This window comes from Homo sapiens, chromosome 5 (genome assembly GCF_000001405.40).
Source record: "Homo sapiens chromosome 5, GRCh38.p14 Primary Assembly".
NCBI lineage: Eukaryota > Metazoa > Chordata > Mammalia > Primates > Hominidae > Homo > Homo sapiens.
Genome location: NC_000005.10, coordinates 73046777 through 73072954, shown reverse-complemented (window position 1 = coordinate 73072954; position 26178 = coordinate 73046777). Strand labels below are relative to the sequence as shown.

Below are 26178 nucleotides of genomic sequence, written 5' to 3'. Positions count from 1 at the left end.
AAAAAGACAAAGGCTGTAATAATCTTTTCTCTCCAATTTTGTAACTGTAGTAAAATAAACTTAACATAAAATTTACCATCTTAATCATTCTTAAGCATACAGTTCACCGGTATGAATTATATTCATAACGCTGTGCAACAATCACTATCATCCATCTCCATAACTCTGTTCGTCTTATAAAACGGAAACCCTATACCCATGAAACAACAACTCCCACCAGTTTCCCCAGCCCCTGGCAACCACCATTCTACTTGCTGTCTCTATGAGTTTGACTACTCTTTAAGTACCTCATATAAGTGGAAGCATACAGTATTTAACTTAGCACAATGTCTTCAAGGTTCATCCATGTTATCATAGCATGTTAGAATTTCTTTCCCTTTTAAGGCTGAATAATATTCTATTGTATGCATATACCACATTTTGCTCATCCATTCATCCAACAATGGACATGGCTTGCTTCTACCTTTTGGCTGCTGTGAATAGTGCTGCTACGAACAGGAGTAAACAACTATCTCTTTGAGGTCCTGCTTTCAATTCTTTTGGGTATATACCCAGAAGTAAAATTGCTGGATCATATGTAAATTCCATTTTTCATTTTCCGAGGAACAATCATACTGTTTTCCACAGCAGCTGTACCATTTTACATTCTCACCAACAGTGCACAAGCCTTCCAGTTTCTCCACATCCTCACCAACATTTGTTATTGTAATACTATTTTATTAAAATTATACTCTCTTAAATATGAAATTAATATATTCCCTGACCAGGTGTACTGGCTCATGCCTGTAATTCCAGTACTTTGGGAGGCTGAGGTGGGAGGACTGCTTGAACCCAGGAATTTGAGCTTATAGTGAGCTATGATCATATCCCTGAATTTCAGTCTGGACAATGGAGTGAGACCCTGTCTCATTAAAAAAAAAAAATGTCTCTTGAGTAACTCACACAAATGAATATTTATATAAAGTCAATGGTAACATTAATGTCTACTACTGCTTTGACACTAAAAATTAAAAGAAACCTGCATAAATATTCTTTTCAACAATCTAATCTGGGCACATAACACGACTCTGTAAATTATTATGCCTAGCTTCCCTGTAAATTATGCCATTACTGAAACATTGGCAAGCAGAGAAAAGTATTGGAAAGTTGAAGAAAAACTCAAAACCCACTTAACAGTTGGCATATTCCCTTTCGTATTTTCTATTTTTGTTTTTCTTTCAAGATCGTATTGCACATGGATACTTCAAAAAATGAATAGGAAATATGTACTTAAATAGTCTTTTAAAAAGTCTAAAACTATACTGTATTATTCCAAATAAATAATTTCTTAGAAATAAAAATTTATTCTCTTAATAAGGGTAGATTGTGGTTTCTAATTTTGGTTTGTTACATATTTAGATAATTTTGTTTTGAAAATGTAGAGAGCTTATAAACTTGAGGTATGTAACAGGTATAGGGTACCTTCTTATAACAATCAATGGATATTTATGTAGAATTCCTTTCCGCTCAGAAATAAAACACAGACACCCACTCCCTACTATCTCCTATCATCTCCATGCTTCTAACTTCATCTGTATGGTTTTCGTATATGACAGCCTTTGCCCTACTAATTTAGGTATTAGAGGTTTTTTTTTTAACTGACATATTCCTTTTAATTCTTTTTGGATGACTTCTTACCTGATTTGGATAGCTTTAGAATTAAGATTTATTGACATTTCTTAAAGCTGAGTTGAGGAAAGCAGAGAAGAAAATGCAAAAATATCGTGTTTTTATAGTTGGGGATTTGATATAATGGATCCTATTCAGCAAGTTGGGGATTTGATATAATGGATCCTGTACAGCAATTTGATGGAATTAGCACAAAACTGAAATAGTTAATCTTAGCATAATTCTTGATTTCTGAGACATCATACAATTCTGGAAAAGGAAAAGTTGGATAACGAAATATTTTAGATACACTTAAGGACCATTAGTCAACACATACATTTGCTTCTGATACAATACCTGGTGACGTCTCACAGTGCTTTTCAATTTCAGTGTGTGTCCCAATCAAATTATCATCTTCTATTGTATTTAAATAAAATAATGCAGAAAAAGAAAATATTTTCAAGAAACAAGGAGAATCAGAAACTTAAATCCACACAGCGTTGAAAAATCATGGCAAAGAAAGAGAACTTTTTAGGTAGATTTTAAAAATCTTTGTTGTATAAAATTCACATACAACCTGCCTTGCCTGTATTATCACTGTCACCTGCTTTTGGTTGTCCTATTGCCAGCAATGTCTCAAACCATAAACTAATATGTACCAATTCAATAGAAATTAAAGTTTCCATCACAAACACAAAACCTCCTGAATAATCTAAAGATAACTGGAAAAAAAAAAAAAAAACCTAAAGCGAAAATAAGGTTACCCAGACCACCTGCCTGCTTTCTAGTAGGTCCCAGTTAGGTTTTTTAGGACTAAAATATAGATTCTGTGGGAAAAAATTAAAACCACACAAACAAAAAATAAAAATGAAGTATTCATTAAACCAAAGGGCAAACTTATTAGACATATTCAGTTTATATAAAATTAAAAGATGGGAAAAATGCTGTGTTCACAAAGGTAATAAGATGGTGACATCATGTTTAGACATTTAGAAATCAAGCCATTTTATATTTCATTCTAGCCTATATTACTTATCGTCTTTTTACAATGGCCACACACTAGTTGCATTTCTCCTATGTGAGCCTTGACAAATCAACTGGAATTAAATCAGCTTAATTAGGGCTGTGGTTATCAAACTTAGCATGCATCAGAATCACCTGGAATGCCTATTAAACGACTGCTAGTTCCACTCCCAGGGTTTCTGATTTTAAAAGTCTGCATTTCTAAGAAGTACCCAGGTTATGCAGATGCTGCAGGTCCAAGGACCACACTTTGACTACTACTGAATTAGTGCTCGGTTAGTGAAAATCAGTGATTTGCATTATCAAGAATAAACCCATCACTACTTAAACCAGCAGCAATACGTACAGTTATAATTTTTATGAGAAGTTGTATGTCCTGCAACACAGCTGCTTTGTCTAAGTGGCTTTGTGCTTTATTATCCTAACAATGGGTGAAAAAGGTAGTAAGAATTTGTAGAAAAAACTGAGTAGAAATGATGACAAAAAAACTCTTGAGCAAAGTCTAGATGTAGTAAAATACTGAATTTGTTTGGTGAGGTTTAGGTTCATATAGCTATGCTTCATGGATCCTCAACCCCCAGGCCACAGTCTAGTACCCAGCTGCACAGAAGGAGGAGAATGTGAATGTGAATGTCATCTGTATTTAAAGTAAACCGCCCCCCACCCCATCACTCAAATTACAGCCTGAGCTCTGCCTCCAGTCAGATCAGCAGCGGCATTAGACTCTCATAGGAGCGAGAACCCTATTGTGAACTGTGCATGTGAGGGATCTAGGTTGCGCACTCTTATGAGAATCTAATGCCTGATGATCTGCCATTGTCTCCCATCACCCCCAGATGGGACTGACTAGTTGCAAGACAAAAAGCTCAGGGCTCACACTGATTCTACACTATGGTGAGTTATATAATTATTTCATTATATATTACAATGTAATAATAATAGAAATAAAGTGCACAATAAATGTAATGCACTTGAATCATCCTGAAACCATCCTCTTGACCCCAGTCCATGGAAAAATTGTCTTCCACAAAACCAGTCCCTGGTGCCAAAGGTTGGGGACCACTTCCCTAAGAGCTATTTTTAAGTCTTGAAATTCTTGTGGAAAAATATAATTCACTGCAAGCACAAATTGTTTTCTTTCATTCAATCATTTTCAAAACACTATTGTTTTTAAAACATAAACTTTCTTAGAAACGCAACTATCAGTTCACAGAAGGAAGAACTGCATTTTGTTTTGCCTTCAACTATTTATATTGATCAGCAATTTATAAATTTAACTCATTCTTAACGGTGCTAACCACAGTTAAAATTCTTCTATCCAGATAACATAGACTGTGAAACAGAAAAGCAAAGCATGGACAGTTTAATAAATTCCAGGTGTGTTTCCAGAAAAACAAAATTTATAATGTTAAATTCTTCATTAGCCCATTTAAAAATATATACATATTTAGCATACATATACTTTGTACACTACATTTCACATGTAATTGATGATAATCACTTACCTACTGTTGGAGTATTGGCAGCACTCAATGAAGCAGATGATGAGATAGAAGAAGAACTTTCTGCCCGGGCTAATGGTGCAGCAGGAGGTGGGCTGGTGTTGGAAGTTACAGGTGGGCTGAATGGCCTGGGCTTAAAAACAAAAAGTTATTTATCAAAATGCTAAAACAATACCTCTCTTGTTAGAGAAGATTTTTAAGTATGAGGTAAATTTAACATACCAAACCAAATTTACTGTGTGAGTTTCTTGTAACTTAGTATCAGAGATGCCATATATCATATCATTTTTAAGAACATACTAAAGCCTGAAAAGATTATTTTGAAATAATGCTGTAAAAAAGGTCTTTGTGCATAAAAATTTTTCTGTATTTAAAAAAGTATGTTTAAGACAGATTCTCAGAAGTTAAATTAGTTTAAACAGTATAAACGTTCTTCCCAAACTGCTTCCCAAAAGGGTTATTCACTTTACCTGACTATAAATATAAGAAAATTATTTCTCTACACCCTTGCCAGAAACAAATGGATGAGTCACAGAAGAAGAAAAAGGGATTAAAAATTTTTTCTAGCTAATTTAGAAAATAATAAAACCTTCACTTTTATGAATGGGTTGATGTAATTTGGGGAGGTTTTAGTATTATCTGAGCTTTCACTAAGCCTTTGCCTTATTTTCTTGCAAATATTTTCCTCCTTAAATATTGCTTGTCCTTTACACTTTTGGTGTTTACAAATCTGTTCACATTTTCCTCAGTAATTCCTTGTAATGCTTCCTCACTCAGAAAACTCACTCCATACAAAGGTTTGAGCGACTCAATTCTGTTGTCTTCCCAATTTTCTAATTAAACATAAAACAAATATAAAAAATATAACTCCAATTCATTTATCTTTTACTTTGGTGAACAGATTCTTTTCCTTCCAAATTCCTAACTGTACCAATAATTCAGTAGCAACACTTCCTGAGGTGTTTTGCTTTCTTAAAAAATAGGCGTATTTGTCTTCATTTAAAAAAAAACAAAAACCTTTTCCTGCTTATAAAAGTATTAGGCAAATATATATTTATTTAGTGTCTACTATGTGTCTGACCCTGGATTAGGTACTAGATACAAAGCTGTGAACAAGAAAGATAACTGTCCTCAGTTATTTGAGGAACATGAAAAAAAGGCAAAAACAAAACCCTACTTGCATTCATACACTAGTCAATTCTTCATTGCATGAATATAAACTTAGAGATACACATTTTAATAAAACTGTCATTTTACTGCAAAAAGTGTTTTACAATTTGTAACCCCCTACCCATTTAACTATTTTTTCCAGAGTACAGCTTTTTGATGACTCATTATGATGGACAATAGGTTGAAAAAACTCAGCAGGATGCTAAAAATGCAGCTGTGTATATACGCAGACCAAGGTGGTGCAGGACATTGGGGTGAACAGATACTGATCAACAGCTAGTCTGAAACTTACAAGCTTGGAAAAAGTCTTGAGATCAACTACTGTGGGACATTTCTCCTATGGCAACATAACCTCTAGGCCAACATAATGTGACTGCCTTTTTAATTTTTTTTAGGAAAAGGCAAAAACAGCTCTTTTCTCAAGTGGTTTTCTCTAATTTTAGAATTATGCTATCTACTACAGTGGCCAATAGCACGTGAAATGTGACTAGTCCAAATTGAGATGTGCTACAACATACAGAGCAAATTTTGAAGACACAGCATACACACAAAAGGAATGTAAAATCTCATTAATTTTCATATTGAATGTGTTAAAATAATATTTTTATATAGCAGATAAAATATATTACAATGAATTCCATTGTTTTTCTATGTGGCTACTAGAAAACTTTAAATTATATGTTGCTTATATTATATTTCTATTGGACGGCATTGCTTTAAAACAATGTTTCTGAAACATTAGCAGGCATCAGAATCGCATGGAGGGCTTGTTAATAATACACAGTTGCTTGGCCCCTCCCCTGAATTTCCAATTTGCCTGGGGTGAAGCCAGAGAAACTATTTCTACCAAATTCCCTGGTGATGCTAATGCTACTGATCTGGTACTGCACGTTGGGTGCCCCTGCTCTAGAACAATGAGTGGTTCTTTCAGTGGGTAGGGAGGATGTGGTTATAGACTCCTTTGAGCATCTGGTGAAAGCTATGAGCTCTCTCCAGAAAAATGCACATATGAGCATGCAAAAAAAAAAAAAAAAAAAGAAAAGGCACTCCAATGTACAGCTGGAGAAAATTTAAATCAACATACTCTCTCTGGTGGGTGATACAGAAATAATCATCAAGAGTCTTAAAAATGTACATACAGTTTAGTTCATAAATTGCACTTTTAAAATTTTTTATTAAAAAAGAATGCTAAGAAACCATAAGGACAGTCATTAAGACATTGTTTATAATAACAAAAACATGGAACTAAATGTCAAATAAATTTCTGAAAACATTTAGAAATTTAATTCTGACAACGGTGTAGAAGACAGAGCACTCATATTGAAATACTCTGTAGCCACTTAAAATAGTGCTCCCTGAAGCTCAGAGGGTGGTTTCTAGAAGGCTCTCAAGGATGGGGAGAGGGTAGTGTATGGTGATATGGGGATGATGTGAAGGATTCAACTATGAGTCCCACTTTATTTTAATATATTAATACTTACAATTTAAAGTTATTTGGCAAAAGATTCTATCACTTTAAAGAAGCTTGAAGACTATGAAATAAGAATAATTCATTCAGCAACATGGATAGAACTGGAGGCCATTATCCTGAGTGAAATAACTCAGAAACAGAAAGTCAAATACCTCATGTTCTCACTTATAAGTGGGAGCTAAACAAAGGTTACACATGGACATATACAGTGGAATAACAGAGAGTGAAGACTACAAAAGGTGGGAGGATGGGAAAAGGGTAAGGGTAGAAAAATTACCTGTTGGGTACAATATTCACTACTCAGTTAATGGGTACACCAAAAGCCCAGATTCTGCCGGTATGCAATATATACATGTAAGAAATCTGCACTTGTATCCCCTAATTCTATAAATAAAATTATAATCAAAGAATAATTCATGATATAGAAAGATATTTGCAAGTAGAAAACAAATTAGAAATATGTAAAGTATGACTTTTTATTTAAAAATATGCCTATACAATTAATAATTTTTGAGCAACTATTTGCATTCAACAATATTCTGTTTTACATGTATTAACTCATTTAAGTCTCACAACCTAATATCATTACACATATTTTATCCATGAGGCAACTAAACTCTGATTAAATAACTGTTTAATGTTGCTCAGCTAATACGTGGCTAATAAGCTTGTACTTTTAACTATATTTTACTGCCTCTGGATAAACACTTATGCATTCCAAAAAATGTTAACAGTGGTTATCTTTGGGTGGTGAAATACAGAGGAAATTTATAATTTTCCTTCTCTGCTTTCTCTGTTTTCCAAATTTTATAACACGATCATTTACTGTTTTTACAATCAGGAAAAAAAAATCAATTTATTAGAATGTACTCAAAGTTCTAGTCATAACGATTTAAAAAAGAGAATGAAGTATTTTAAAATGTAGTAATTTCTATATTACTTAAATAATAACCTTCTCCTTGGCAGCTTGTACCTAGTCTTTTATTTTACTTCCACTAAGTCTGTTCATTCGGAAAAGAAAGATATCACCATTTCAATACTTGGTGCCGAAGCTTTTCAATATATTCACTGAAGATTTCATAACTGTGTACCACCCAACAGGCATCATGCAAAGTACTGAGGATATGAGACTGACGAAGGAATAGCCCAGTAAAGGTAACACACACAAAAAAAGTACATACAAGGTGATATATGAACTAACAAAAATATAAGCAAAGTATCTGGGTATAAGGAAGATAAGTGAAGGAATGATCAAAGAGGGTTTTGCCTAGGTGGTGATGTTTAGCTAGGTCTTAAAGAAAGAAGTCAATTTGTGACATAGAAAACTGAGGGGCATTTGAGATACAGCACAGGAAGAAGACATGGACATGTAAAAGACCATGATGTGTTTAAGGAACCCTGAAAAGTTTCAAGTGGCTGGAACCTAGGTTGAAAAGGGGAGAAAGATGGACAGTTAGTCTGGTAATGTAGGTTGTTGAGGCAGCTTTATAAAGACTCTTGTACATTCAGCTAAAACAGTCAACCACACAGACTGAGAAACCACTGGAAATGTGTATCAAGGGAAAAAAGATTAAACTGGACTTAGAAATTTAATTCTGGTAATTAAACTGGCAATTAGTGTAGAAGATGAAGCAAAACAAACCAGATCAAAGGCAAATAGACTGGGAGAGCCTCACTGCATAGAGTCTATAGATTTTCTCTATCTGATGACTTTTAAAAACCAATGCTTTTCCCACCCATGCATGTACTTTTATAAGTCAACTGGATGATGTGGACTCCAGTTTCCTTATGTGTAAAATTTTAAATGCTGAGCTAGATGCCTTCCATAATCCTCCTTGCAGTATACTTTTAAGGTCTAAGAACAAGCCACCATTTATTTCCTTAACATTTGACTTTAAGTAGAATTATATGAAAACCGCTTCTTTATTGTGAGACAATGGATACTGAATGGTATTTTTATAATGTGCCAACTTTCTCAGGAAATCTCTTTCCTCCTGGACAATGTCGTGTCTCACAGGTATGATCACTGTGGTAACAAGGAAGAGTAAAGGAAGCACTAGCTGGGAAAATTTTTCTATACTGTGAGGACATGGGTAGAAAACTTCAAGCAATTAACTGTAAAAGGGCATATAGAAAAATAGCATTTGCATCTTAAATCAAAACAGTTAAATAATTTTTAAAAAACCTGAGTACATACTATTTCATTAATCCCACTGAGTTTGCCTGAAGTAAGCTTTGGTCTGGAAGCAGGCCTCGGAGGTGGGACAATGGTGCCTACAGAAAGAGGAGTTGTGGGCCTGGCTGGTTGAGGGGGAAAAGAGAATTTGAAGAAAATCATTAGTATGTAGCAATCCTTACATAAAGACATTCTATTATAAAGAAACTTTTGGTAATCAAAGCTCATTTTTCAGGAGGCTCTTTTTTTAGATGTAATTATAGATGTTGAAATATTGGGAATCTATCAAATATGCTTTATTTTGAAGTGACCAGTAATATTCCTGAAAAAAAGTTAACCTTTCAATAACTGACACATATAAATTTTATTCCTGTTTCATTATCTATACATATAAAAATTAAATCTGATACATTAGCTGATGAGAACAAATCAATTTAAGGCCAAAGGTCATTTGTTTATTGCCAATACATCTATTTTACAGATAGTAATTCGAGACCAAGCCTTTGAAGCTGTACCTCCAGAATAATATTGTAAACTCTAAATAAAATACTTACCTTAATTAAAATTGTTAAATTTGCCTTTTAAGTTGAACCACATTGTAACATTTTGGGGGGTACATTATTTGAGATAATCAGATATTCTATTAGTTTACTAAAAAAAATTCCCCAAATCATTACAATTAACTTTGGTAAGTGTTCAAAATAATATCTTAACTTGTTCCTAAGTCCTATATAAATTTAGTGTTGAGTTTTTCAATGCCATTTGCTAATTTTACAAATCAGAAATATCAGTATTCTTAATCTCATCACAATGTAAATTACTGGATAAATGTCATGTATACATCATCAAAAGTCACAAATGTATTAGCATAATCAAAGAAGGAGTAAAAAAAATGGAAGTAAATAGGTTTAAACCCTCTTTAAAATCATGTTTAATAATCATTAATAAATTAACTTAAATGATTTTCAAAGCCCTTTGGCTCACACTAAAATACAGGCTATAATTCAGAGACTGAAAAATATAATGGGTGGGAAGAAACATATTCAGCATGTTTTCAAAGTTTAGAGATGTACAAAATTAAAAATATATAAGTGGGCCTAAGTATACACACGGGGAAATAAACTGCAAAGCTAAAGGCCTTTAATCATCAATGGAGGAATCAAGGAGGCATGAAAGGAAGGTGCATAGAGGTAGTAGGAAGAGACCTAAAGAAAAAGGTAGTCACACGGATTGAAAGTTGTACATGCATGGGACGTAGGGAATCACTTAGAAAGCATACCATAATAAGAGATAAAAGATGCAAACGCTGTTCAGGTTGCTTAAGGAAAACAAAAAAGCTAGTAAATCAAGCTTAGATTCTGAGGCCACTGTCTTTTTCCAGTCAGTACCAGTTCTTTCATGCTGCACTCACACTTGAAGCTGTACCCTGGAAGAAATGTGCACCAAAATCTGAAGCCCATAACACTTCCCTGTGTATTACATATCTACTTTAAAGATATGTTCATCATCAATGAAACTAGCACTAGCCTATGTTATTTCAAACTTGTGAGAGAGTTTACACAGCAGAGGCATTTATTACTGATCAAGTGGTCTGTCCAAATGGCATTTAGATTGACTCAAACCAAGCCTGGTAGAAGTATTAAGTTCAGTTCAAAATTTGCTTTTCGAGAAAAGCTAGTAACAATACTTATTAACACCACTGTTTATAAATGAATCTATATTATATCTGCATAGGTCAATTAGGCACTGCTTCTAGAAGCTTCTGAAGGAGATAACTGCAATTGTTTACTTTCTTCAGTGTCCTGTGTTTTATTTTTTGCTGGTGGTGGGGTGGAGATCAGTGCTACAAATTTCTATTAGAAGCAGTGTTTCAAGAAATATAAATTGACCTGTGAAGTATAAAAAAACATAGGCGATAAGGGCTACTCTATATCTGCCCTCAGACATTAACTAAAGCAAATAGACAAAGCATGCTTGTCATACCATTCTTTATCTGAACAAAAGTGGAAACTAATCTAGAATCTAGAAGCAATAATGATGATGTAGAAGAAATAGCAGCAGCACTGTTAGCTGCTTCTGCAGGTACATTTTCAAAACATCTAATATTAGGCAAAGGTCACTGTGATCCTCAGAGATGCAGCTGTCGGAAGAAATCCCATCCAAAGCATTAGGAAACCTAAAAGTATTTTCAGCTTTACAATGCAATCTCTGGAATGCCTTCTGAGCAACACTGGAGCTATTAATTGTAACAAGTTCATCAGTAAAGAAAATCCACTGACTTTGTAGCCATGAAGCAAAAGGAACTTTATCTGTGCTCTCGAGTGGTGCTGTTACAGCAGAATAAAGTAGAGATTTGGGGGACAAGTCTGGTGATGGACTTTCTAGACTCAGAATCTGACTGGGTTTCAAGTAAATTTTCAATTATCACACACCCAGGCAAATCAGTGAGAAAGGAACTGAAGTTCCTACTCTGCTCTACAAGTTCAGATGAAGAAGAAGAAAATAAAAAACTACAAGCAAAAGGAAAATTCTAGAATTAAACATAAATCCATATAACCAAATAGTTACCTTGTTTTAATTATTTGAAACTAGAAAATTTAATAACAATACACGGAAGAAGAGCATAAGTTCAAACTATATTAACTGAAGAAGTATGTACATTAGAAACTTAAAATGCATATGAAAAACTGAAGGTCCAAAATTATACAAAGTCAGAGTTATTCCTGTTTTCCCAGAGGAGCAAAGGTAACTATTTATAGTCAGTACAAGATCTAAAAAGATTCGACAAGGTGGCAAAGCAACAATGCTGTGTATGTGTGGTACTCAACAAAGTTCATCATTGTCCAGTGATAAAACTGCCCCCAGGAAGTACATCGGACTACATCAGGGTTCGAGTTAATATTTAAAAACAGCCCAATATTTTTCAAAAAATCATTTTAAGCGGTTTTTTTTTTTTTTGTGAGCACAAGAGTTCAATTAATTCATAGGCAGAGAAAGTAATCTACATTGGCACTTAACAAAGGGGAGGTAGGCGTAAGATATTTATGTTAAATTTTTAAAAATACACATATCGATGTTTATATATATTCATATCTGACATAAACATGAATGCTTATTTATAGTCTACATGGTATAAGATGCAACTGAAACTACTTTTCAGCCAAGCCCTAATCAACATTTTAAAACATGTAACAACACTGGGATTCTTAACTATCAGTTATTAACTGATTGATTGAAATTATTTTTTAGCCTGCTTTAAGATGAGGTCAGTGATGAATTAAGATTATGAAAGACACACAGGAGAGCACTGAATGATCTCACAACCTGGACCTTGCTAAAATGTTAAAATGGGTACCTGGGTAGAGGATGTTAAGATGGGAGAGAAGTGCATTGCAAAGAATGGGGGACAAAGTTTAAGACTGGTTGTAACTAGCGAGTACCAAGAAAACAATAAAAATAAGTGAAATAAAAATTTAAGATAAAATGCCTATTTCGTAACTTCACTTAGGGCCAGTTCTGTAAAACAGGAGAATCGCAATTATGAATTAATTAGTTTGATCAATTATATTCTGTTCAAGTGAAGACTTAATAGTAACTACTATATAACAAGATAACTATCTCTTTTGAGCATCATTAACTTTTTTTTTGAAAGGCAAAATTTATAACATTACTTTTCATACTATATAGGAAGATTTAAAAATGCATACTGAAGTGAATTTTAAAACCAGCAAGAAGTTAATAAATATTGTATCATTTCCTAATGGCCAAACATCAATGACCACTAAATGAAAACGAACCATTTTTTACCTGAAGTGATGGTGATATGAGCCAAACACTCTTTAGACAGGGAGCAAAAGGAAGAAAGAGTACTTTTATAAAATGAAAGAGACTGTACTAGAGAAAATATCAAGAAACAATGAGCAGAATTATAAAGAAATTTCTATATAAATAAAACCTCTGTGATACCAATTTGAAAACTTTTATTAAAGACTTTAATAATTCATAAGGGGATATTAACAAAATTCGAAAATACTGCTGAGAACTCCTCATTCTAAATACAAAATGCCATTCTGACATTTTTACTAAACAAAAGAGAGATCTGGCAACAACATCAGATTTTCCTGTACAATTACTTTCTTCATATAATATATATATGGTTAATTTTATAATACTAAATAGTAACAAATGCTCAATGAGAAAGGCTATAAAGCCACTTCAGATTATGTTCAACTATCTATTGACTGTTTCTTGCTGTTTTACAAGTATTAAGTACAGATTACCTTCCCTTCAAAAGGTCAAATAGCGTTTAGTGTTTAGGGTTAAGGTTTCTTATAATCCACTTATAGTATCTTTTAAAAATATTTTGTTGCTAAACGGTCTAATTTTAAAAACCAATATTTAATTTTTAATAGTAAGATATTTCAACATGGCTTTTTTGTTGTTGCTGTTAATCTGCCAAAGTGTGACAGATAGAACAATGGCTTTAGAATAAGTAAGAGCCAGGTTTGAAACCTGTCTTCATCATTTACTAGCTATATAATCTTGGAGAAGTTACTTATTATCTCTGAGCTTTACTTTTTTCATCTATAAAACAGGGACAATAAAAACAACTTCATGCTGCTGTTAATGTGGTGAAATTAAATAGAATGTGTGGCACTCCTAACAAAGTTACCTAGCATGAACTAGACAGATTTAAGTTCTTCCCGCATGATTCCAGCGCTTCCTTAACCCCAAATACTGGATGGCAATTCTGAAGTCCCAGAGAAGAGGGTAGAAGATCAACTAAAATTGATTTTATTTTCTTGTTTTGAACAAGCAGTGGTTTTATTAAACATACATTTTTGGTGCCTGCTTTTTGACTAATGAAAAGAGAAACTTCATATATTATTGCCAAAACAACTAAAAAACATTTATCAACTTCTTTTGTAAACTGCTTGGGAAGTGTTAAAGCCTTTCTAGAAAGCAGTTTGGCAATAAGTATCATGGACATCATCTTGTAAGCCATAAATTTTAAATTGATAAATTACTACAAGCATATTATGAGACATATGCACAAAATTTGTTATTTCTATGGATGTTCATAATACTAGAAAATTAGATGCAACTTAAACTTCCAACAAGAAAGAACTGGTTACATTGATATATATTTTGTATTTGAATTATCTATAAACACTAAGAATTATTATTTGGATAATGATATGAAATGCCTAGAAATAACATGCCAATTTAAAAAACCACTTAGTATTTTACCAATTTTTATTGTTTAAGTCATAGAGTATCTAAGAGAACAAAACCAGAATAAAATCACTTTTATTTGGCAATACAGAGGACAAATTTTTAGAAATTTTGATCATTAAGTACAATGCACAAAAAGTGAATGAGAAAAAGCAACTAAAGTATTCTTTATTTAAAAAAATACATATATACATATATATATTTACCTGATGATGATGAAGTTAGTGAAGATGAAGAAGATGAATCAAGAGATGGTCCAAATAGGGGGTCCCAAGCAAGTAAATCACTGGTTCCTTTTCTACCATAATATTTTTAAAAGCAAAAATTTTAACGAGAATATTTTATTAGTATAAAATTTCTAGTCACTTATTTTTATTTCATAGAATTCTAACAGCTCAATATACATAATTAAAAAGTTAGGGCCAGGCACCATGGCTCACACCTGTAATCCCAACACTTCTGGAGGCTCAGGCAGGAGGATCACTTGAGACTAGGAGTTCAAGATCAAGCCTAGGCAACATAGCAAGACCCAATATACACAAAAAAATTTTTTTAAATTAGCCTGGCTTGGTGGTGCATGCCTGTAGTCCTAGCTATCCAGGAGGCTAAGGAAGATCACTTGAGCCCAGGAGTTCTGTGCTGCAGTGAGCTATGATTGCACCACTGTACTCCAGCCTGGGTAACAGAGCAAGACCCCGTCCGTAAAAAAAATAATTTTTTTTAATTTAAAAGTTGGATACTCTATCAGTAGTATATGTGTAGAAATTAATTAACAGATTTAACAGCCAATATTTGTTAGAAGCGTAACCTAAGATAACATGTGAAGTTAGCAGAGGAGAATGGGGAAGATTAATTCCCATTCATCATGCCTTGTTAGATTCAACCACCTTGGGGGCTATCATAATGGGAATAATAATTTCAGCTTTACAAATAAAAAAGAGCAGCACACGTCTAAATGAACTGCCCAAAGACATACAGCTACTTGATTCTAAAACAGGCTCACATCTGCTGGTTCACACATAGCACCCAATCCTGAAAAGAAAATTTAAGTGGTATAAAATTGGGTTAAAATTTTATAAGGCCATACTTATTTTCAAAGATGAAGAAAAAGGGTAAAGTGATTTTTTTAAGCCCTTAAGTACAGAAAGGTGGCTTACATATTTTAATGCATCAAACTGCCATTATTTTAAAAAATTTTAGGAAATCTTACACACACAAAAAAACAGGCCCTCTATAATGAAAGTGCTGTAATTACATAAGAGTACATATCCAGCATCTCAACATGCACCTACATGAAAGCACACTATACCTCGTATGATAAAGCCTAGCATTGCAACTGTATGACTCCTAAAAACAGTTTTAAAACACTCAACAACTTATCTTTAAAAAAATGATACATCCAATAAATACCACCACTATGCTCAATTAGTACCTCAAAAGTATCAAATAATTGTAAACTACCTATTTAACTAAGCCTACTTTTACTTGTATTTTACATTAACTCTGGCCAGGCTTGATGGCTCATGCCTGTAATCACAGTACTTTGAGAGGCTCAGGAGTCTGAGTCCAGGAGTTCGAGACCAGCCTGGGAAATATAGCAAGACCCAGTATCTACCAAAAAAAAAAAATTTTGAAAAAAATTAGCTGGGAGACAGGGGCGGGAGGATCATTTGAGCCTGGGACGTTGAGGCTGCAGAGAGCCATGATCACGCCACTGCACTCCAGCCTGAGAGACAGAGTAAGACCCTGTCTCAAAACAGACAAGCAAAAAACCATTAACTCAAAGAGAGTATTCTTAACTGATAGACACAGAAGTAAAAAGAGACCCATGAAACATTGGCTTAACATTTTTTTTTTTAAGAAGAGCTGGCAACATGCCTTCTAGCCTCTCTCTCCCTTTCCAACTTGACACACTTCTTTTTTTGAAGCTTACGAAGTATATTATTTTATAACGTCACAGTCAAAACTGAAGGAAGAAATGAGAAAATTCCCATGAGAATAACCAGCTGAAATACAGATATGTATGAATTTAGGGTTTCATCATTTATTTAGAAGTAGTGAGGCTACCAAGGCCAACTGTGGTTAAATAGATTTTTTTTATTGTAAAAGGACATATTACCAAGCGAGAAATAATTTTAAACTTCTAAAAACTCCAACATTGCATTTGACAGCTCAGAAAACAGGATGATTAACAGAACTTTACTGGAATTAAAACTATAGAGCTAATAAAACTCTAGAAAAAAAGACAAAAGGATACTTAAAATGTAAGTGTGTGGAAGAAGGGATGAGAAGGTGGAGCACAGAAGATTTTCAGGGCAGCAAAAATACTCTGTATGATACTATAATGACGAATACATGTCCTTACACATTTGTCCAACACCAAGAATGAACCCTAATGTAAACTGTGGACTTTAGGTGATTATGATGTGTCAATGCAGGTTCACTGATTCTAACAAATGTACCACTCTGGTGAGAGAATTTGACTGTGAGAGAGACTGGGCATATGAAGGGGCAGGGAGCATAAAGGGAAATCTCTGTGCTTTCCATTCAATTTTGCCATAAATCAAACACTGCTCTAAAAAATAAAGTCTATTTTTTAACAAAATTAAACATGGAAACTTACTCATTGGGTGGAGCAGATGGCTTTGATTTTGTTAACTCCTCATCTAATTAAAAAATTAAAATATGAAAACTTCATAATCTGAGAAATAAAATATTTTAATGAAAAACAGAAACTCTATACACATATCTCAACACTATAACAATTAAAAATTTTGGAATTGATAATGTAAATACAAACAATATTTTAACAAGTTTTCTATTGTGTACATTAAAATAACTGAAATTACAAAACCCTGGTTCCTTCTAATATCTTTAGTAAGAAATGACTTAAGTCAATTAAACTATGATATTCATTAAAATTGCTGTTTAGAAAAGAGAAACTATGGGTTGCAACTTTAAAAATTAGAAAAATGTTTAAATACATAAATTCTAGTTAAGAATTTTAACTGATGAATCATGAATGCATTTTTCAAGTTCTAAGAATATTATTAGTGATTATTGTATTGACAAAAAGTAGTTATTAACTCTTGAGGATGTCATATTTTGAAAAATTAAGAATCTTACAGCAACCTGGAGCAAGTCTCTTTATAAGATAGTTTGTTTTGCTACCTTTTGGATTTGTAATGTGCCTCATTTCACAAGCAAGTGGTAAACAGGGGAATAGCATCATTAATGAAAAACTCATGTTGGTGCATAAGCAATTTTTGCTGCACCTTCATGTTTTCTTTGCATCACCAAGCAATACCTGATGAATGCAAAGTACATCAATATGAGTAACTTCCACAAACTATGGAGGAGTATCACAGTACATGATAACCATTCACTCTACATTCTTCACTTGGCTCAGTTTGGTTGGTTGTTTTGCCTCAGTGTTTATTGTGCTATTCTTCAATATTTCTGCATTTTGCTCTCATCTCCACAACTCAGCACCCTGCATTTATCCTCATTTTCCTCACACCCCCTATCATTAAGCTACAATCAACATTTCTTTAAAGATAAAATCCTTACTTTTATTTTGGTATTTATTATTCATTTACTAGGTCTCTTAAACTCTGTTAGAATTTTTAATAAAACTGATGTTAAAGTTTCTGTTAAGTCTTCTGTTAACAAAATTACATAGCTTTTGAGTGGGCTGCTTCAACTGTTTTTCCCACAACCCTTGTTATTTTTAATGCATGATTCTGCAAAAGGTATTAGCACCTTAGAAAAGTTTTTAGTATAATTTTTAGTATAATTAAATTATAATAGAATTTGTAATTGTGACACAACTTAAAAATAGGTAAAATTCAATATTACTCATCTTATAAACGCTTTCTGGTTAATAAGACAGAGAATGCCAGTGAAACCGTTTAACATTCTGAATCAGAAGTTACTTTTTGGCTTTGGTGATTTCTGAAAAATGTTGTAGCCATGTATTGAAGTTTAAAGCATGTCTCTCAGCTCTACAGGAAATAATATAGATACGCTGTTTTCTATTTAAAATAATTATCCTTCTAGCCACGCAGTAGGGCTCATGATGAGAAAAGATCATTTATTTCTACAGCTAAAGGTAAAAGACTAACAAATTGCCTTATAAATTTTAATAGACATAAAATAAACAATTCAAATGTCAAACTTACTAGACAAATTCCGATTCATCTGTACCTAAAACAGAGATGCAAAATAGGTACCATAAAACAAATGAATTTGATAATTAAATATTTGGTAAAATGTTAATACTGGGAACCTAATTTTATGTTGTTTTTAGTATATCTGCTCAATTGTAAAGTGTATTTACATAAAAGATATAGAGAAAAAACAGTAGTTTTTGTTTTACAGCAAAAAATAATACATGTAGTTTTAACACCTAATGTTTTTAAAATATTAAAGCAACATCTACAACAAAACACTAAAACTTGCTAATCTAAAAATTTAATACAAATATTTTGAAAGTCAATCTTCCAAAATTACAATGATTTTAAAAGTCAATGGGCAAAAATATAAAATCTTGTACTTACTGGACTGTGTCTCTAGTAGTACATGGAAGAAAAAGAAAATTAGGTTAGAATTCTGAATACTGTATTTTTGTGCTGTAATAATTTATCATTCCCTATTCAATCATATCTAAACTATATACACCTTAAAACACATACACTGTCAGGTGGGAAAAAGTTAAGCAAATGAGGCAGCAAAATATATTCAGATATAATCTTTTCTTATCCAATATTAACTATAAAATTGTTCTGATTATTATTTTCATAGTATGAAATTAATACATGTTCATTGTTTTTTAAAAACAAACTGAAAAGAGAAGAGTACAAAAGAGAAAATTTAAAACTATTCACAATCTCACTACCCATATATTCCTCTAGGCTTTTGTTTTATATATTTAACATACATATTTTATATTAGTTATGCTCTTACATAACACACATTTTTAATGGTTTACAACCTCATACTTCGTATATATTCACCACCTTTTTTTTTTTTTTTTGAGACGAAGTCTCGCTCTGTCACCCAGGCTGGAGTGCAGTGGTGCAATCTCGGCTCACTTCAACCTCCGCCTCATGGTTTTCAAGCAATTCTCCTGCCTCAGCCTCCTGAGTAGCTAGGACCAAAGGCGCATGCCACCACGACCGGCTAATTTTTTGTATTTTTTCAAGAGACGGGGTTTCACTGTGTTAGCCAGGATGGTCTCCATCTCCTGACCTTGTGATCCACCCGCCTCGGCCTCCCAAAGTGCTGGGATTACAGGCGTGAGCCACCATGCCCGGCCCTATATTCACCAACTTTTAAGCAACTCTGTACTTCAACATTAATCTTAACGTTAAATAGTAATGGTACAATAAAACCTCATTTCAGAAATATTTTTGGTAGGAAGAAAATAGTTCTGAAACTAAATTCTGAAGTACATGACTGGGAGAAAACCACCTTTTTTTCCAAACAAATACATGTAACTACATAAAATATGTAATTAGACAACAATATGAAACGGTGAGAACCTTTATTCTTCATTATCAAGAAGAACAGACTTAATGTCAATCATGATGATCACATATAGATATACTTAACTTATCCTAAGAATTGCTTTTTTCACATAGTGTAACATTTTTAAGTTTAAAATTGACATCAATGAGGAAAAAATTTACTGGGATAATGTTTTATTTCTCCCTCAAATCCTATTAAATACGGTATTTTAGAATTGAGGAATTAACTATTACCACTAAGAACTCTTATCTGTGCCTTTCCTTGTATGAAAAGTATGGGAAAATAAATGTTACAGTGACAGACTAAAAAAAATGCAAATATATAATTTAATCTTTAAATTCATTTTTATAAAATTCCCTCCTACATAAGGCTCACAAAACATAGAAGAAACACTTCAAAATTAGATGAGGCAAAAATTAATACTGCCAATTCAAAGAATTCTGCCAGAGACACACAGCACTGTTTATGAAATGCAACAAATGGCAGAAATAGTAAATTTTTGACATTTTCACTTTCTACTTTCAAAAGCAAAATTAAGCCAAATTCACAAGTTTATTTCCCTGTATAAAAATTATAAACTAAGTATTTCCTCAGTCAACATGCTTAACAATTGCTAAGTAATGTTTGACCAGACACAGGTAGGTAAGAAAAATAAAGACTTTTATATAAAGAGTACAAACGTGTTTGTACTTACAGATATTGCTGGGGAGAGTGTTATATTCCCTATAGATACTTTTAATTCATCCAAAGAAGCCATTGTGTGATGTGAGTTATTTGGATGCATAGGCTTAATTTCTATCCGATACTTCTTTGGTTCTTCATCTTCGGAGTCAGAATCACTAGATGAGTAGAAATGGTTCTCTTTGGTATGTGAGTTTCAGTTAAAGAATTGTTTTTAAATTACCTTAGACGTATAACCAGTTTTTCACACATTTATTTTAAAAAAGGAATGAAACCTTTAAGAGTTACACAGACTTTGGGCCGGGTGCGACGGCTCACGCCTGTAATCCCAGGACTTTGGGAGGCTAAGGCAGGTGGATCACGAGGTCAGGAGATCAAGACCATCCTGGCTAACACGGTGAAACTTTGTCTCTACTAAAAATACAAAAAATTAGCTCGGCATGGTGGCATGCACCTGTGGTCCCAGACAATCGGGAGGCTGAGGCATGAGAATCACTTTCACCCAGGAGTAGGAGGCTGCAGTGAGCCGAGATCGCACCACTGCACTCCAGCCTGCGTGACAGAGTGAGACTTCATCTCAAAAAAACCAAAGAGAAAAACAGACCTTAACAGAAATAAGACTACTAACTTTTATTAATAAAAATATGTCAAGGCCAGTCGGGTTAGCTCACACCTGTAATCCCAGCACTTTGGGAGGCCAACGCAGGTGGTTCACTTGAGGTCAGGAGTTCTTCACCAGCCTGGCTGGCCAACATAATGAAACCCTGTCTCTACTAAAAATACAAAAATTAGCCAGGCATGGTGCGCATGCCTGTAATCCAAGCTACTTGGGGGACTGAGGCAGAAGAATCGCTGAAACCCGGGAGGCAGAGGCTGCAGTGAGCTGAGATTGTGCCACTGCACTCCTGCCCGGGCAAGAGAGCGAGACTCTGTCTCAAAAAAAACCCAAAAAAAACAAAAAACAACAACAACAAAAAACATGTCAAATGACAAACAAGGAACCATATTTTATAATTAATAAAAAATTGGAAGAGGCTTTAATACATGATTTTCTTATAACTGCCTACTTATATGCCAACATAATCCTTAAGAATACTAGATGATGAAAGGATATCATTCTGATTTGTTTCTGGTTTAATACTGTAGCCTTCTTCATCTACATCAGGAATGTTCTAAGGGAAAAAGAAAAAAAAATTATAATGACAACTCCAATGTACAAAATTATTAGAGATTATCAAAGTAGCCTCAGGTATTACTTAGGAACCAAACCGCTTCTCAGATATCAACAGGTTAATGAAATGATGAACACCGAAGAAAAATTACACCTTTTTAGTTAATTAGCTTCAAATCACACTCCATGCTCTGGCTACCTGAAAGAGGAAAGACCTGCAAAATGAAACAGGAGAAACACAACTCATAATTTCAGGGCAAGAAATCACTGAGGTGGGGACCAATTCAGATTGCTCAAAATCTACAGTTTCTGTTATAAATGAGGAAGAATAAGTTAGTTTAAAAAGTACATGTGATTTGAAAGCTATTATCAAGCTAAATATTCTTATTGCTATAAGCTGTATGGAAATATAAGATCTAGCACCTCCTTATGCAGTTTAAGTCTGGGTGAACTAGTAAAACTATCTAAGACAAACCATCAATGTCTGCCAACATGCCATAAAGAGTGACAACCAGACACCATGTGTGTCATGAGAGAGGCAGCCCTGACAAAATAAAACAAGACCAAAAAAAACTTGAACCTGGATCTGATCAAGCCTCTAGATCCAAATGCCAATTTAAATAATATAAAGAAGTAAAACATAATACAGTATGGCAATATAATCGGCAAAATCCAGACTAAAGGAAACTATAAAACAAACCACTTAGTCTTGCCAATAAAAACACAGAAAGCGGGCCCGGTGCAGTGGCTCACGCCTGTAGTTCCAGCACTTTTGGAGGCTGAAGCGGGTGGATCATGAGGTCAAGAGATCAAGATCATCCTGGCCAAAATGGTGAAACTCCATCTCTACTAAAAATACAAAAATTAGCTGGGCATGGTGGTGCATGCTTGTAATCCCAGTTACTCTGGAGGCTGAGGCTGGAGAATTGCTTGAACCCAGGAGGCAGAGGTTGCAGTCAGCCGAGATCACGCCACTGCACTCCAGCCTGGCAAAAGAGCGAGCTCTGTCAAAATAAATAAATAAATAAATAAATAAATAAATAAATAAATAAATAGCAGAAAGCTAAACAGAGAGGGAGGGAGGGAAGGGGAACCTGTAGATCAAGAGAGACTTAAGACATATCAACAAATTCAAACAAAGCATAATAAAATGGACATCAAAGATGATAAATACTGAATGGTTATTTCAAAATACTAAGGAGTAATAAATTATTTCTAGATGTGATGATATTGTGATTATGTTTTAAAGATATATATGATGTATCGCTTCTTGGCCTTTTGGCTAAGATCAAGTGTAAAGATATATATAATGTAAATTCAGATGAAATTATAATATTCTAGAATTTGGGCAGAGGAAATGGATGGGCAGGATTGGCTGGGGCAAGCTGCTGGGGCTGACTGATGAGACCCCAAAATGAGAGACCATGATGGTATTTATATGTATATGTATATGTATGTATATATCTATGTGTATATATATGTATATGTGTGTATACACACAGACACACACACACACAATTTGTTTAGAATTCTTCAAAATAAAAAGATAAAAATAATCTAGCTGGGAGTATTAAAAACAGCAGAAGTTGCCTAAATATTATAACTCAGAAATTAGTTTTAATGCATTTTAACAGCTTCAAGAAGGGGTTTTCTGGTCACATCATAAAATTCCCATAAGTTGAAAGAACACTGCAAACAAGGAGAAATAACATACACAAAGTCAAAGAAAGATAAACAAACATTCAGTTCAGGTGTTCAGAAAAAGGTTTTTTTCAAGTTAAAGAAAACTGGGCATGCCTAAAAGCAGAAGAGGAGCCAATAAATACTACAGATATCACAAATATGTGAGATAAAATGAGAACAAGGTACTCTAAGAGTCAAGAAAAAACAGGATAAGACAAAAAGGCCCCTCCCTGTTCCTCAAGGACTAGGAAAAAATAAAAGGAAGAAAACAGGTATTTGGGTAGGAATGCCAGCAGCTTTGTGGACCATAAATTTTTCATTCAAATCCTCAAAGTAAAGAAATAAAAGGTTAAGGCTACGTGTATCTTGGGGTGTGGTGTGGTGAAGCAAAAGGACTGAGAGTGTAAATATAAACCATAAGCAAAAAACAAACAAAATGAGAAATAAAAGACTACCAAGAAAATTAAAACTACATTAAGATAGCAAATTCAGGCCGGGCGCGGTGGCTCACGCCTGTAATCCCAGCACTTTGGGAGGCCGAGGCGGGCGGATCACGAGGTCAGGAGATCGAGACCATCCTGGCTAACACGGTGAAACCCCGTCTCTACTAAAAATACAAAAAATTAGCCGGGCGTGGTAGCGGGCGCCTGTAGTCCCAGCTACTCGGGAGGCTGAGGCAGGAGAATGGCGTGAACCCGGGAGGCGGAGCTTGCAGTGAGCCGAGATCGCGCCACTGCACTCCAGCCTGGGCGACAGAGCGAGACTCCGTCTCAAAAAAAAAAAAAAAAAAAAAAAAGATAGCAAATTCATAAGCTTGAAAATATACTCTGTTAGTGAAGCTGCAGGGGAAAGGCATATTCATACTTTGTGGGTATTAATACAATAATTGGCACAACCCCTACAGAGAAAAACTCAGCAATGTGTAACAAAACTACATATATATTCACTCTTTTACCCAGGAATCCCATTTCTAGAAATTTACCGTGAAGACACAGCTCCAACTATTTAAAAATATATATGCACAAGGTTATTCATCGAAGATTATTTATAACCTGTAATTATTAGAAATTACCTAAATGTCCAAGCACAGCTGAATAAACTATGGTACATACACAAAATGGGTAAAGCCATTCCTCCATATCTGCAGGTTCGGTTTCAGTATTTGCATGTATTCAACCAACCGCAGATTGAAAATATTTTTATTTTATTTATTTAGTTTTTTGAGATGGAGACTCACTCTGTCACCCAGGCTGGAGTGCAGTGGCCCAATCTCAATTTACTGCAACCTCCACCTCCTGCAGTGATTCTCCTTCCTCAGCCTCCCTAACAGCTGGGATTACAGGCGCCTACCACCACACCCAGAAAATTTTTGTATTTTTAATAGACACAGGGTGTCCCTATATTGGCCAGGCTGGTCTCGAACTCCTGGCCTCAGTTGATCTGCTCACCTCGGCCCCCCAAAGTGTTGGGATTACAGGCATGACCCACTGTGCCCGGCAAAAATATTTAAAAAAAATAAAAAATAAGCTGATTGTGGTAGCTCATGACTGTAACCCCAGTTCTTCAGGAGGCTGAGGGCAGGAAGATTGCTTGAGCCCAGGAGTTCGAGACCAGCAGTAGAGCTGGCAATATAGTCATATCTCATCTCTACAAAAAATTAAAACATCAGCTGAGCATGGAGGCATGCACCTGCAGCCCAGCTACTAGGGAGCTGAGGTGGGAGGATCGCTTAAGCCTGGGAGGTAGAGGTTGCAGTGAGCCCAGATGGTGCCAGTGCACTCCAGCCTAGGCAACAGAGCAAGACTCTGTCTCGAAATAAATAAATAAATAAAAAATAAAAATACACAAAACATGAATCTTTAAAAAACACAGTAAAACAACTATTTACAATATCCATTTACATTGTATTAGGTATTATAAGTAGTCTAGAGATGACTTAAAGTATGACTTAAAGGATATGTGTGGGTTATATATAAACACTATGACAGTTTATGTAAGGGACTTGAGCATTCAGTGATTCTGGTATCCTCAGGGGGTTCTAGAACCAATCCTGCAAGGACACTGAGGAACGATTATACTATGTAGCTGTTAAAAAAAAAAAAAAGGAAAAAAGTTTCTATGAACTAATATGGAGTGATTGCCAGGAAATACTGCTAATTTTTAAAAAGCCAAGTAGTAAAGAACATATATAGTATTATAACTTTTAAGTAAGAAGGGCAAATAAGAACACAAACATACATCTGCTTATCTTTGTTTAAAAAAAAAAACTACAGAAAGGATAATTAGAACACAATAAAGTTGGTTACCTACAAGGAAGGGCAATGGGGTAGAAGGACACAGGAAAGACGAACACTTCTCTGAATGTGTTTTTGTGGTTAGATAATGGAATATTTGAAATTTTGGGACAACATATACTTAAGTATTTAGAGACAAAGGGCCAGAATATATTTAATTTGTGCTCAAATGGATCAGAAAAAATATTATACACATATAAACACATGCACAAACAGAGAGAGAATGCAAATGTGACAAAAATAAAGGGCATACAAGTGTTCTTCGTATTATTTCATTCTTGCAATTTTGTAAGTTAGAAATGATTTCCAAATTTCAAAAAAATTTTAATGGAAAGAAAAGGCTGCCAAGGAATTGCAGCAAAAATCCTTTTACTGGTAAGGTATTCTGTTCTTCTAATCACTTTCTAAAGCTCAGCAAGAAAGATATGAAGAACTGTGAAGGCAGGCACAACACAAGGTTAGGGAGAACTGAGGGCAGCATTTATGTGACTATCACTTCCAGACTAAATAAACAGTCTAATGTAGCTAGCAGTGAGTTAACAGATGGAATTAAAAACTAGAAATAAAAAACCTAATGTAGGGTGAAGAGCAGATTC

General features: G+C 34.2%; 1 protein-coding gene across 9 annotated transcripts in view; it reads right to left on the bottom strand.

Annotated features, from left to right (window-relative positions):
* Window positions 1-26178, bottom strand: part of FCHO2 (FCH and mu domain containing endocytic adaptor 2) — a 134482-nt gene that overhangs the window by 17568 nt on the left and 90736 nt on the right. For 5 of the 9 annotated variants that reach the window (NM_138782.3, NM_001146032.2, XM_017009016.3 and 2 more), the window contains 8 exons: window positions 21549-21606; window positions 20448-20623; window positions 18784-18795; window positions 18406-18430; window positions 16848-16890; window positions 14431-14522; window positions 9011-9114; window positions 4176-4305 (listed from right to left, as the gene is read on the bottom strand). In NM_138782.3, coding sequence (NP_620137.2) covers window positions 4176-4305; window positions 9011-9114; window positions 14431-14522; window positions 16848-16890; window positions 18406-18430; window positions 18784-18795; window positions 20448-20623; window positions 21549-21606 — 640 coding nt within the window. Of the gene's footprint in view, window positions 1-891; window positions 2065-4175; window positions 4306-9010; window positions 9115-14430; window positions 14523-16847; window positions 16891-18405; window positions 18431-18783; window positions 18796-20447; window positions 20624-21548; window positions 21607-26178 lie in introns of those variants that run through there. The other 4 variants (XM_017009020.3, XM_017009021.3, XM_017009019.3 and 1 more) reach the window with 3 other exon arrangements.